The sequence below is a fragment of the Homo sapiens genome, chromosome 1 (assembly GCF_000001405.40).
Source record: "Homo sapiens chromosome 1, GRCh38.p14 Primary Assembly".
Classification (NCBI taxonomy): domain Eukaryota; kingdom Metazoa; phylum Chordata; class Mammalia; order Primates; family Hominidae; genus Homo; species Homo sapiens.
This window is the reverse complement of record NC_000001.11, coordinates 120,196,008-120,210,270: the sequence shown is the minus strand read 5'-3', so window position 1 is coordinate 120,210,270 and position 14,263 is coordinate 120,196,008. Positions and strand designations below refer to the sequence as shown.

The 14,263-nt window shown below is 39.9% G+C and overlaps 1 pseudogene; it reads right to left on the bottom strand.

Annotated features, from left to right (window-relative positions):
- The window catches only part of LOC100996723 (uncharacterized), a 123,106-nt pseudogene extending 109,849 nt beyond the window's left edge, over positions 1–13,257 (bottom strand).
- Positions 13,258–14,263: the final 1,006 nt, after the last annotated feature.

Sequence of the window (14,263 nt, the reverse complement as noted above, 5' to 3'; positions counted from 1 at the left end):
TTCTTACCACGGCCTATGAGGTCTCAGGTGACCTGGCTCAGGTTCACCTCTGCCCCCTCCTCTTATTTATTATGCTCCAGCTGCACTGGCCATTTTCTTCCTCAAACACACTAAGCTTATTTCTACCTTAGGGGTTTTGCAGTTCTTTCACCTCCTGCTTTAATTCCTCTCTAACGAAGTTTTTTTAAAATAAACTTTATTAATATCAGAAATCACTTTATTTGTATATTTATTTATTTGTTTTCTGTCTACGTCCTCACTGAGCCTTTATCCAATAATCTTGTTCCTCATTTTATTCTAGCACCTAGTATTGTGCCTGCCATTCCATATATACCTTTTGGAAAGATCAGTGAACAGACTCCAGCTATACTATTTTTTAAAATAGGATTTACTGGAAGAGGAGACCCACAGAATCAAAGGAACAGTTGAAGACTCAAAAGAACAGGCTCAGAAGGGGCAGGAATAGGGAGCGGCAGGAACAGGGGAAGCAATTAGGATCTAGGTAGCAAGAAGGGGCCGATTGGTTCTGGCCACTTTTTTCTACTCTTATGTTGTTCCACTGATGATGCAATGCTCAAAAAATCAGATCATTGGGAGGCCGAGGCGGGCGGATCACGAGGTCAGGAGATCGAGACCATCCTGGCTAACACGGTGAAACCCCGTCTCTACTAAAAATACGAAAAATTAGCCGGGCGAGGTGTCGGGTGCCTGTAATCCCAGTTAACTCTGGAGGCTGAGTCAAGACAATGGCGTGAACCCCAGGGGGCGGAGCCTGCAGTGAGCCGAGATCGCCCCACTGCACTCCAGCCTGGGCAACAGCGAGACTCCGCCTCAAAAATAAATAAATAAATAAATAAATAAATAAATAAATAAATAAATAAAAAATCAGATCATCCTCGTGTGGGTCTCAAGATTATCATTTAGCTCGGGATACCTTAAACAAACTTCCCACCAAGACTATAAACCATGGCAAAGAAGACAATTCTAGCCACCCCCCCCCCCAAAAAAAAGTAGGGCTATTGTCCAAAGAAGGGAGGAATGGACACACCCACAGTCAAAAACCCAAAACAAAACAAAAGTCTGCAATAATCTCTGACTTGACATTTTGTCATCTAGAAGACAACTACTTTCTTTCTTTTTTTTTTTTTTTTTTTTTTTGAGATGGAGTTTCCAGGCTGGAGTGCAGTGGCGCGATCTGGCTCACTGCAACCTACGCCTCCTGGGTTCAAGTGATTCTCCTGCCTCAGCCTCCTGAGTAGCTGGGATTACAGGCGCCTGCCACCACGCCTGGCTAATTTTTTGTATTTTTAGTAGAGAGGGGGTTTCACCATTTTGGCCAGGCTGGTCTCAAACTCCTGACTTCAGGTGATCTGCCCCGCTAGGCCTCCCAAAGTGCTGGGATTACAGGCGTGAGCAACCGCGCACGGCCAACATCTACTTTCTTGCAGTATTAACTGATGTTTGTTTAAGAGATATAAACAGATTTCGGCCGAGCTCAGTGGCTCACACCTGTAATCCCAGCACTTTGGGAGGCCGAGGCGGGCGGATCACGAGGTCAGGAGATGGAGACCATCCTGGTTAACACGGTGAAACCCCATCTCTACTAAAAAATACAAAAAATTAGCCGGGTGTGGTGGCGGGCGCCTGTAGTCTCAGCTATTCGGGAGGCTGAGGCAGGAGAGTGGCGTGAACCCAGGAGGCGGAGCTTGCAGTGAGCCAGATCGCGCCGCTGCACGCCAGCGTGGGAAACAGAGCAGGACTCCGCCTCAAAAAAAAAAAAAAAAAAAAAGATATAAACAGATTTCAATATTAAGTCAAATAAAAGAAGAAAGATAAATCTGTTCAAAATTATACAGCATACTAAAAAGATATGCTTTTAAATGTCTTCTCTGTCCTATGATTCAGAATAAACTAGAGGTCAGGAGACAGTTCCATGAGATATCTTTTTGGATATCCCAAACTAAATTAATTCTCTCCTTTCCCTGACATCTGCTTCTCATACCATATTATCTATCTCAGTTAATGAAATTACTATTTACTCTCTGACTGGCCTAGGAATTTGTTTAGACAGAGTTTACTTGTCTAGAGTAATAAACTGGAGAATAACATTTGTTTCCACCATCTCCCTCATTTCCCACACTCAATTAATCAAAAAACCCTATCAGTTCTAACTCAAATTCTCCAACCTATCTCTTCCTCGCCATTCCCAATACCAGTGCCTGTGTTCAGGCCCTTATTACCTTTGGCCGTGAACCACTTGCAACAGTTTCTCAGTGATCTTCACTCAATCCACTTAAGCCCATCTCTCACACGATTGCCACACTTACAACTCTAAAACAAAGATCTATGTCTGCCAGACTCTTCTTTAAAAGCTTCTATAATTCCACACTGTCTACAAAAATAAAAGCCAACCGCCTCTGTGTCTTAGCTGAAATGACAGAATACAAAAGTTTCTCAGAATGATCTATAAATGCAACCTTTTCTTTAATATGGAGGTTCTTTAACCCTGGTATACATGAGAAAACTTGTAGTGCATTTAAAGAACACTGATGCTAAGACCTCAATCTGAAAAAGTCTGATTTAATTGGTCTGGAATGAAGCCTTACATCAGCTTTTTAAAGACCTCCCCCAAATAATTCTAATATGTAGTCAGGGTTGAAAACTACTAATTTATAACGTGGCTAGAAAGACACTTCTACTTCCAGACAGCATGCGGTAATAGGGTTGGTATTCATTCCCCTTCACCCCTGACAGAAATTACTAAAAAATAGGACAAGATATATAAAATAATTATTTTCAGACACTGGATATCAGACAACATAGGAAAGTTATCCAAGAGAAGAGAGAAACAAGCAAAGTAAGCCATACAACTGTCCTACTTAACTGCCCCAGAGCTCACAGAGAGGGAATCCAGGCAGAGCCTGGTGATCTGCCTGAGTTGAAGAGATCATGCAGAGATTTGAGAAGGCCAAGGCAGGTAGAGTTCATGGGGAAGAGTACCAGAAAGAATAGAAAATTCCAGAGATCTGTGGAGAGTCTCCTTAAATATTCAGCTGAATACTGATCGGTATATCAGGAAACTACCAAGGTTGGGGTAAGAACCACACAAGAGAATCAGATTAAACAATCCTCTTGGCTCATACAAGGCTGGAAGTAGTTTGTTTCATCATCTACTAAAGTGGGAAAAGCCTCATAATTAACAGGATATTGGCTAGAGTACTTAGAAGGGTATCACCCAAGTAATGGGGAAAATTAATCATCTTTAAAAAGTTGCTTGGGTTCCCCATAATGAAGCTTAAGATCAAGAAGGATCTGTTTCCAACTAACTTAACTGTGACCCAGAATAAAGCTCAATAATGTTTATGGGAATGCAAAACTATCTAACACCCAATATGTAAAATGTTTAATGTGTGGTATCAAATCAAAGTATTGCCAGGTGTGCAAAGAAGCAGGAAACAGTACTTAAAATGAAGAGAAAAATCAATTACCAGAAACATACTCAGAACTGAACAAATGTTAGAATTGTTATTATAGTATTTTAAATGTTCAAGAAAGTAGAACAAAGATTGATAAAATGAAGTAAAATATTAATACATGGGCGGGGCACAGTGCCTCACGCCTGTAATCCCAGCACTTTGGGAGGAGGTGGGCAGATCACCTGAGGTCAGAAGTTTGAGACCACCCTGGCCAACATGGTGAAACCCCATCTCTACTAAAAATACAAAAATTAGCCAGGCGTGGTGGTGGGTGCCTGTAATCCCAGCTACTCAGGAGGCTGAGACAGGAGAATTGCTTGTACCCAGGAGGCAGAGATTGCAGGTTGCAAGGAGCTGAGACCGTAACATTGACAAGAGTGAAACTCCATCTCAAAAAAAAAGAAAAAAAATTAATACATGAAAGTTACAAACTTCTAGAGATGAAAAAGACAATATCTGAGATGAAGAATACACTGGATGGAATTAACAACAGATTAGACACTGTAGAAGAAAAAGTTAGTGAACTTAAAGACATAGCAATGAAAATGATCCAAAAATAAAACAAGGAAAAGAAAACAAAAAGTGAACAGAGCATCAGTGATCAATGGGAAAAATTTAAATGACCTAATATATATGTAACTGAAGTCCCTAAAGGAAAGGAGTTATAGAGGGCAACAAAAATTTTTGAAAAAATAATGGCTGAAAATTGTCCAAGTATAATGAAAACTGTAAACACACAGATCCGGTAAGTGTAACAAATCCAAAGCACGAGAAACATGAAAGTAACCACACCTAGGCACATTTTAATCAAATTGCTTAAGATCAGTGATAAAGAGAAAAATTTATAAGTATTCAGGAGAAAAAAGAACATTATATAGAGAGAAACAAGGATAAGAATGAGAGCATAACTTGAAAATTAAAAGACAACAGAGAAGCCAGGCGCAGTGACTCGTGCCTGTAATTCCAGCACTTTGGGAGGCTGAGGAGGGCAGATCACCTGAGGTCAGCAGTTCGAGACCAGCCTGACCAACATGGAGAAACCCCATCTCTACTAAAAATACAAAATTGGCTGGGCATGGTGACGTATGCCTGTAATCCCAGCTACTCAGGAGGCTGAGGCAGGAGAATCACTTGAACCCGGGAGGTCGAGGTTGCGGTGAGCCGAGATGGCATCATTGCACTCTAGCCTGGGCAACAAGAGCGAAACTCCATCTCAGAAAAAAAAAAAAAGACAACAGAGCAACATCTTTAAAGAGCTGAAGGAAAAAAAGAGCAGTCACCTGGAATTCTACAACCAGCAGAGTAGGTTTCTTGTGCATACAACCCGTGTAGTCACACAGGGCTTTGCACTCAGAAGGACGGGCTTGGTTTAATGCTCTGTTGTTGATGACTTGAAATTCTTAATAATATTTGAACAGAGGGGTCTACATTTTTATTTTGCATTGAGCCCCACAAAGTATGTAGTCAGTCCTGATAACCAGCAAGAATATCTTTCAAACATGAAGGTGAAATAAAGACTTTTTCACATACAAAAGCTGAAAGAATTTTCCCACCAGCAAATCTGCACAAGAATAAGAAGGATTAAAGAAATTCTTTCAGGCAGAAGGAAAATGATACCAGATGAAAATAATGAAGAATATTGGAAATGGTAAATATGTCAGTAAATATGAAACTTTAAAAATATCTTTTACATCACTAATCAGTAAGGAAATGCAAATCAAAACCACAATGATATTTCACTTTATACCCATTAGGATGGCAATTATTTTAAAAAACAAAAACAGAAAATATCAGTGTTCATGAAGATATGGGGAAACTGAAACCCTTGTACACTGTTGATGGAAATGTAAAATGGTGCAGCTGCTGTAGAGAACAGTATGGTCGTTCCAAAAAATTAAATATAAAATTACCATATATGCAAAAATCCCTCTTCTTTTGCAACCCAAAAGCATTGAAAACAGGGACACAAAGAGACATCTGTACATCCATATCTGTTGCAGCATTATTCACAGTGGCAAAAGGTGGAAACAACTGAAATTTCCATTAACAGATGAATGGATTAATAAAATGTTGTATAAACATACAATGGAATATGATTTGGCCTTTTAAAAGGTACATCATTATAAGCCTGAGCAACAAACTGAGACCCCATCTCTACAAAAATATCAAAAAAATTGCTTGTAATCCCAGCCATTTGGGAGGCCAATGTGGGAGGATCGATTGAGCCCAGGAGGTCAAAGCTGCATTGAACCATGATTGTGCCAGTGCACTCCAGCCTGAATGATAGAGTAAGACTATCTCACACACAAAAAAGTACGTAATTACAACACATGCTACAACACGGATGACCCTAAAAGAGATTATGCCAAGTGAAATAGGCTGGAGACAAAACAACAAATATATGATCCCACTTATAAAAGGTGGCTAGAGTAGTCAAATTCATAGAGCCAGAAAGTAGAATAGTGGTTACCAGGAGGTAGGGGAGGGAGAATGGGTAGCTACTGTTTAATGGATACAGAGTTTCAGTTTTGGAAAAAGAGAAAATTTTGGAGATGGATGGTGGTACTTGTTGCACAATAATGTGAATGTACTTAATGCAGCTACTGACCTGTACACTTAAAATGGCTAAACTGGTAAATTTGTGGGGGAAGAAGAGTTTATTTAGTTCTTTTTTTTTTTTTTTTTTTTTTGAGACAGAGTCTCGCTGTGTCACCAGGCTGGAGTGCAGTGGTGTGATCTTGGCTCACTGCAACCTCTGCCTCCCTGGTTCAAGCGATTCTCCTGCCTCAGCCTCCCGAGTAGCTGGGATTACAGGCGCATGCCACCACGCCCAGCTAACTTTTGTATTTTTAACAGAGACAGGGTTTCACCATGTTGGCCAGGATGGTCTCTGTCTCCTGACCTCGTGATCTGCGTGCCTCGGCCTCCAAAAGTGCTGGGATTACAGGCGTGAGCCACTGTGACTGGACTATTTAGTTCTATTTATTCATTTATGCAATGATGGTCTCAGCAGTAGGTAATAAAATATAACCTTATATTTAAAATTCATTTTTCATTTTGAAAGGTTTGGATCTTTGTCTCTTCTTTCTACTTTACTATTTTATTTATTTATTTATTTATTTATTTATTTATTTTTAATGGTGGTGGATCTGAGATCTACCTTACTGTTTTAAATACTTAACTCCAACCAAATAGAAGATAAATAAAAATTGTATTCCCTTACTTTTCTCTAAGGCCATGCTGGTACAACTAGAATTGGCTCTTTAGAATGTAGGTATCATTTATAGTAAGCTGGAGATTTGATCACAGAATGATACATGTAAGAATGTCATAGCACAAAAAAATGCACAGATATTTTTAAAAGGACAAATTTCAGGACACTTTCCATCTGAGTTCATAAGAAAGTCCTCTTGAGTATCCTTCAAAGTTAAAACCCTCTCCCCTTCAGATTAATGAAAATATTAGGATGCATAGAACACAATGGGCACTGGTGATATGGCCCATGGTAGCTGAATTAGATTGAGTATAAATGAAGTCTTCACATAATAGCGAAGAGGCCAACAGAAGAAAGGCCAGAAAGCCACTTGAAACTCATGTCCATGGAAGACCAAATGAAGTTGATTTAACTGTTCTCTTAGAAAGATATTATCCCATTGCTTAGCCCTCAAAGTGCTCATACTGCTACTTTCCTTCTTTATATCACCAGTTCTGGGAGCAAACCTCCTGAAAGAATGGAAGTATAGACTGTAAATACAAGACTGTGGGTACAGCAAAGGGGTTCTGATGCTCTAGTTGTTTGTGTCTAGATACTGTCAAATGTCCCTTGTGATGCACAATTGCCCTTAGCGGAGAACCATTAACCAAAATAAATGAAATAATATGTCATGTTCATGCATCAGAAGACCCAATGTTGTTAAGATATCAATTCTCTATAAGTTGATCTATAGACTCAATGTAACCCCAATCAAATACCCCACTGGCTTTTTGTCTACATTTACAAGTGAATTCTGAAATGTATATGGAAATTCAAAGAACCTAACACAATGAAAACAATTTTGAATAAGAAGAGCAAAGCTCAAGCATTTGACTACGTGATTTCAAAACGTATAAAGCTACTGTAACCAAATCAGTTTGGTATTAGTCTAAAGATGGATAAGGGAGGCTGAGGCAGTAGAATTGCTTGAACCCAGGAGGCGAAGGTTGCCGTGAGCCAAGATCGTGCCACTGCACTCCAGCCTGGGCAACAGAGTTAGACTCCATCTCAAAAAAAGAAAAAGAAAAAAATAAAGGCAGATAAATAAATCAGTCAAACACAATAGAAACCCAGATACAGACGATTATATATGTGGTCAATTGATTTGAACAAAGGTGCTAAGGCAATTAAATGGAAAAAGGATAGTGCTCTTAACAAACAGTGTTAGAACAACTGTACATCTACATGCAAAAAAAAAAAAAAAAGATAAAAAAGAAAAAAAAAACACCTTGATCACCATATACAAAAGTTAACTCAAATGGATCATAGGCCTAAATGTAAAAATGCAAAACTATAAAACTTCTAGAAAAAAATAGAATATTTTTGTAATCTGGATTAAGTAATGATTTCTTAGATATGACATTAAAAGCAGAACCATAAAAGAAAAAACTGATAATGTTTATTTACCACAGCAAAATTTTAAAATGTCTGGTCTTCAAAAGACACTGTTACTAAAATGGAAAGACAATCTGCACAGTGGGAGAAAATATTTGCAAAGAACATATATAATAAAACTTGCATTTAGAATATGAAATGAACCCAATGAACTCAGTGAAACCCAAACAACTCAATGGAAAATGGGCAAAATATTTCAACAGACACTTTACCAAAAATATGTAGATAATAATCAAGCTCATGAAAAAAAAGCTCAATATCATTAATCATTAGGGAAATTTAAGTCAAAAAACCATAATAAGATTTCACACCCACTAGAATGGCTATAATATAAAAGATGTACAGTAACAAGTATTGAGAAGGATGTGGAGAAATGAGAACCTTCATACATTGCTAGTGGGAATGTAAAAGGTACAACCCTTTTGGAAAACGATTTGGCAGTTTCTTTAAAAGCGTGCCTAGTGTTATATACCTCGAGAAATGTGCCCAAGAGAAATGAAAGACATGTGCACAAATAATTATAGCAACTTTATTTGTAATAGCCATAAAACTGGAAACAACTCAACGAATGGTGAATCAATAACGTGTAGCACATTCATACAATGAAATACTACTCAGCAACAAAAGGAAATGAGCTACTGATACCCACAACAGCATAGATAAGTTTCAAAATAATTATGCTGAGTGAAAGAAGCCAGACAACAACAAAGAGTAGATACTGTATGATTCCATTTATATGAAATTCTAGGAAATGCAAAGTAATATATAATGACAAAAGCAGAGGGGCGGGAAGGAGGAATTTAAAAAGGGCAGAAGGAAACTTTTTGGGATCATGGATAAGTTCGTCATCTTGATTGTGGTGATGATTTCACAGGTATATACATACGTTGAAACTTCAAATTGCACACTTTAAATTTGCCCAGTTTATTGTATGTCAGTTATATCTCAATAAAGCTGTAGAACAGCAACAACAAAGAGATGGCTAGACAAGCATATTACAGTAGTTGAAGTTTGATGTTAGAAATTCACTGAATCTTCTCTGAAGTCATTGTCCTCTGACAGTTGTCTGCAGGTTTCAAGCTATCCACCTACACAGAATGTGCAATCTGCTGGGCTTCAAAAGCACACATTGAGGCAGATGGCCAACAGCTGACAATTCACTTAATTTCTCTTTTTAAATAGTTATATACTTGAAAAAGGATCGAGTTTGAATTAAATCCTCACAGAAAATTTCTATCACAGCATGGGATTCACTTCAATAAAGCATCTTCCCACTGTCATAAATCTGCTTGTGTTCTTTTGGCAAAATTTTCTTCCCACTCAACCTGGCTTTGTTATCTTGTCAAGCCAGACAAAAATTCACCTCCTGTATAAAGCCATCTCTGATCATCTGCCTTTTTAAATTTTTTAATTTTTTAATTTTTCTTTTTTGAGATGGAGTCTCACTCTGCCACCCAGGTTGGAGTGCAGTGGTGCAATCTCGGCTCACTGCAACCTCCGCCTCCCTGGTTCAAGTGATCCTCCTTCCTCAGCCTTCTGAGTAGCTGGGATGACAGGCACACCACCACACCCAGCTAATTCTTTGTATTTTCATTAGTGATGGAGTTTTACAATGTCGACCAGACTGATCTCAAACTCCCGACCTCAAGTGATCCACCGGCCTTGGCCTCCCAAAGTGCTGGGATTAACAGGCATGAGCCACCGTGACCGGCCTCATCTGCCTTTTAGCACCATAGAGAGGTGCCATTAACCACCTGGTTTATATTGCCAGCATGTAGGGGCTGTAATATGGTACCCCAGCCCCACCTCCCTACCCCATCATTATTTTTTCTTAAAGAAAATAAGCTTGCCACTTAGAATTTAAACTTTACAATTAAGATAAACTGATTTAGAGAATAAATGTAGACACTTGAAACAGTCACAAGGATCCCCAAACCAGATTATAATCTGACTGAAAATATTAGCATATCAGAGATAGAAAAAGAGATGTACCTAAGAAGGGAGGACAATCATCAGTGGACACTTACTGTCCAGGAAAAAAGAACCTATGTGTACACCTTGATGCTCTGAAGCTATCAAATTATTTGAAATTTAGAATCCACTAATTAATTCCTCTTGCTCTAGATTCAAGTTTCAAAAACAACCTTTTGGCTGTAATTTGGCTCTCAAATGTGGCACATATACCAAGAGATATTTTGCTGGGATCATAAAAGAGAGTCTAGTTCCCTAAGATGTTAAAATTCTCATTATAAATTAGTAATTTGTTATTCTGGGTTTATATAGTAGTCCTGTGATTTATCAGTTTAAGAAGCAGACTTGGCTGGGTGCAGTGGCTCATGCCTATAGTCTCAGCACTTTGGGAGGGTGGGGTGGTAGGATTGCTTGAAGCCAGGAGTTTGAGACCAGCCTAGGCAACATAGCAAGACTCCATCTCTACACAAAATAATTTTTTAAAAGTAGCCGGAAATGGTGGTACACAACTGTGATCTCAGCTACTTGGGAGGCCAAGGCAAGAGGATCCCTTGAGCCCAGGAGTTGGAGACTGCAGGGAGCTATGATTGCACCACTTCACTCCAACCTAGGCAACACAGTGAGACTCCATCTCTGAAAAAAAAAAAAAAAAAGAAAGAAAGAAAAAGAAAAGAAACAGACTTAACAAGTTAAAGACCAGATTTCAACATATTTTCCAAGATAATGCCACTTTCTATGGCCTGTTAGGGAAGTCAGCTTTCCTTGGAGAGATAGAGAGAGAGAGAGAGAGAGAGAGGTCTACAGTTCATCTTTCTGTTACAGCACTTACTCCATACTCCAGTTACTGAAGCATATTATAGAACTACAGATTCTGAGTTACCTGAGGGTAGTTTTGTATCCAGTTTGTGCTGGCCTCCACCATCATTGCTCAATAAGTAACACTGAACTGAACTGAATTTGGATAACGTGCAAAGCTGCTTTTTTACATTTTTTAGTTGATTGAGAGTTAGAAAATCGTACCAAAAACACCACTCCCCAAGTATAACCTCTAATACGCTAACATTCATTAAACCTCTAACACTATAGCTAAAGTTGTTACATTTTTTAAAGTACGCTAAACTGCGGAATTGATTTTTAAATAAAGGGCAAAGTAGTACTAACCTCAGTCAAGTTGCTGTAAGTGTTTCATTTGGGAATTGTGAAATTTTTTAAAAACATTTCAAGACTTATCATTACATCAACGAAGATGAATATAGGTGTAGTTTGTCAGATGAGTAACTATTAAGGAAACCATGAATGTTTGCTATCTACTTTCACAATTAAACCACAATTTAGAGGATCAAATTCTAACCCTACAAACTTTTTTTTAACCAAAGACAGGGAGAAAAATCATACTCTTGTGATAAGGAGTCATAATTCATTTCAAATTCTGCAGGATTAATGCTGCTTTCCAGATAAGAAGAATTCACCCCGTGTGCGTAAAGTGATTAAGGAGCCTTGGAATTATAAATACACATTCAGATTAATTTTTTTGTTCTAAGCTTTAAATAAAATTTCAAAGTATTTTATAAAATAATTAACATCCCATAGATATGCTTTTTTAAAAAAGTAATTATGTCTATAAAAGTAATTTGTATAAGGCAATAAAAATTTTACTTTATAAAAAAATCAAACAATGAATACTTTTTGCTTAATTCTTTCTTAGGAGCAGTAATTTCTTATGGGTTCCTTAGAAGACATGTGATTTATTTAAGCTCTATTAACTGAATGTGAGTCTGTTTTCTGACATAAACAGTGGATAGTGTTATGAAAAAATAAAATTGTCAGTGAATAGGCTAAATTTCATAGTTCACAAATATAGCTATCCTGAACATAGAATACAGATCCAATGAACATTTAGTTTTATAATTAGCACTGTTTTAATCCAAATTCCAATTTTATGCATGGGAAACTGAGGCCTAGAGAAATGAAGTAACTTTTTACAGACCCGTTAGCTCAGAGGCTGGAATCACTAGGCCTGGTAGTTTGATTTATGAGTACTACCTTCCATGAGATAAAAAGCTAAAAATGCTGTGATGAGGACATGTTTATTTCTAAAAAGCCTGCAGCACAATCTATCTCTTCTCCCAAAAATCGTATGTATGACAGATTTTTATGTTACCGCTGCTACACGAAGAAAATTGAGCCTAATATGTTCGGTCTTCCAGGCCAAAGCAAAGGATTGATTTTAGAAGGAACTTGTCCTGCATGGCCTCCATCCAGCCATCAGGCAGGGCTCCAGCTCTGCAGGGGAAAAAGAGATAGCCCAGGAAGAGGGAATCACCACCCACCCCACCCTGCGATCTGTATCTAAGAGAAATAACCCTGAAAAGAAGAGCTATAAGAGATGGCAGTGTGTGCTTTCGTCCGGGTGCACTTCCCGATCCTTCATCTTTCATGCCCATCTCTGATGTTTCCATCCTGGTATAGCCTTCTGAGTCATGTGTTCATCTCTCCTTTGGCTCAACCCAACAGACACAGCCTGCAATCTCACCTCCATCAACACAGCAAATGTCTGTGTCTCAAAGACCTCGAGATAGAGACCGAGCTTCCTATGCTTTAACCCTTCCAGGGGCACACCTTTATTTCTGGGCAACTCAACACTGTCCCTCCTCCTGCCTCCACCACAGGCCCCATTACCTCCCTACCCTTCTCCAAGCAGTAGTCACTCAGCGCCAACCCCTCTCAGGCGTCGGGATCTTCAGTCCCGGGCCCCAGCCCTCCGCGCGGTTCTCCTGCCCAGCGCACCGTGCGTTGCCACCCCCATCGCGTTCCTCAGCCTCCCGGGCTCCAGAGGCAGGAGCTGGCCATGCTCTCACCTCATCCAGGGTGTGGCCGCCGCAGCTGCTTCTTCCTCCTCGGCCGCTGCTGCTCAGCTCCCGGCTGGCTCCGGGCGCCGTCTTTCCCGGCTCGGGGTCTGCCGTGGGGACTGAGGGGTTCGCGTCGCGTCCCCGGACCGGTAAGGCGTGTAGTGAGCCCGGCGGGACGCGCGACAGCAGCAGCCAAAGTCGCATCGGCGGCGGCAGCAGGACCCGCTGTCTGTCCCCTTCATGGATTTCCTGGGCCTGGCCACCCCAGTCCTAGCTACGGTTTCTGCTTGTTTTCCTGGTGTCTTCCGGGACTGCCAGGGCGCATCCTCTGGGCCTGGCTGAGCATCCCCGTCAGTTCCCTGGGCCTCCTCCGCGGCTGCCTCTGCCACCTGCTCCGCCCAGATTGCTTTGGTCCTTCTCCCGCAGACACACTCAGCTGCCCTTCATCCTCTGTCGTCTCCCCATTCTCTCTCCACCCACTGCCTCATTCCCAGATCCCACGCCGTTTCTTCCTTTCTATCCGCTCCAATGTCACCTTCTCTTTATTTCCAACCTCAGATAAGTTTCTCCTTTTCTTTCTGTCTCTCTCAATATTTTCCCCGGTTTCATCCTCCTCCCCGCGCCCCCGTATCAGTCATCCTTTTATAATTTATCCAGTTTTTCGTCTCCTATTAGTTCCTCAGAATCACTACTGCAGGTTGTTGGCTAGCCTCTTTTCTTCCTCTCCCTGTTTCTTTCTCTTTCCTAAAATCTTTTCCTTTCAATTTTCCCTTGAGTTTTTCAATTGTAAAAACTTTCTCCCAAACAGCCTACATTTTCCTTTCAGTTGAGACTGATTGCAGTTTTCCATAAACTCATAGTAAAGCATATATAGCTTGGTATCCACCATAAACCAAGAAAGTGTTTTAACCTTTTTTTAAAGTTGGTCAGTTAAATAAATTATCCCATAAATATTCATTCTGAAAATCCAGTTCTTATATCCTACATATGTCCTTGAAAACAGAGACTAGTTTGCTTTTGTATCCAGCAAAGCAAAATGTTTCTGCAACACTATTGCATATAGCATAAGTTCAGCAGGGGAGGGGGAGCAATGTTTGTCTTTGTAGTTGGGCACTGTGGATCTCAAGGTTCATAGGCAACAGCTATTATTGTTGACTGACTGAATGCAGACAAAGCTGAATTCATCTCAGCTCATCCTTCCAAATCTGTTGCTCAGTTCTGTGTTTTAACCCCAGCCCTATCTACCCAGCTGCTCAATCCCCAAACCTAGAATTTGTCAGGGACCTATTTCTCTTTTACCCATCTCATCCAGTCATTAA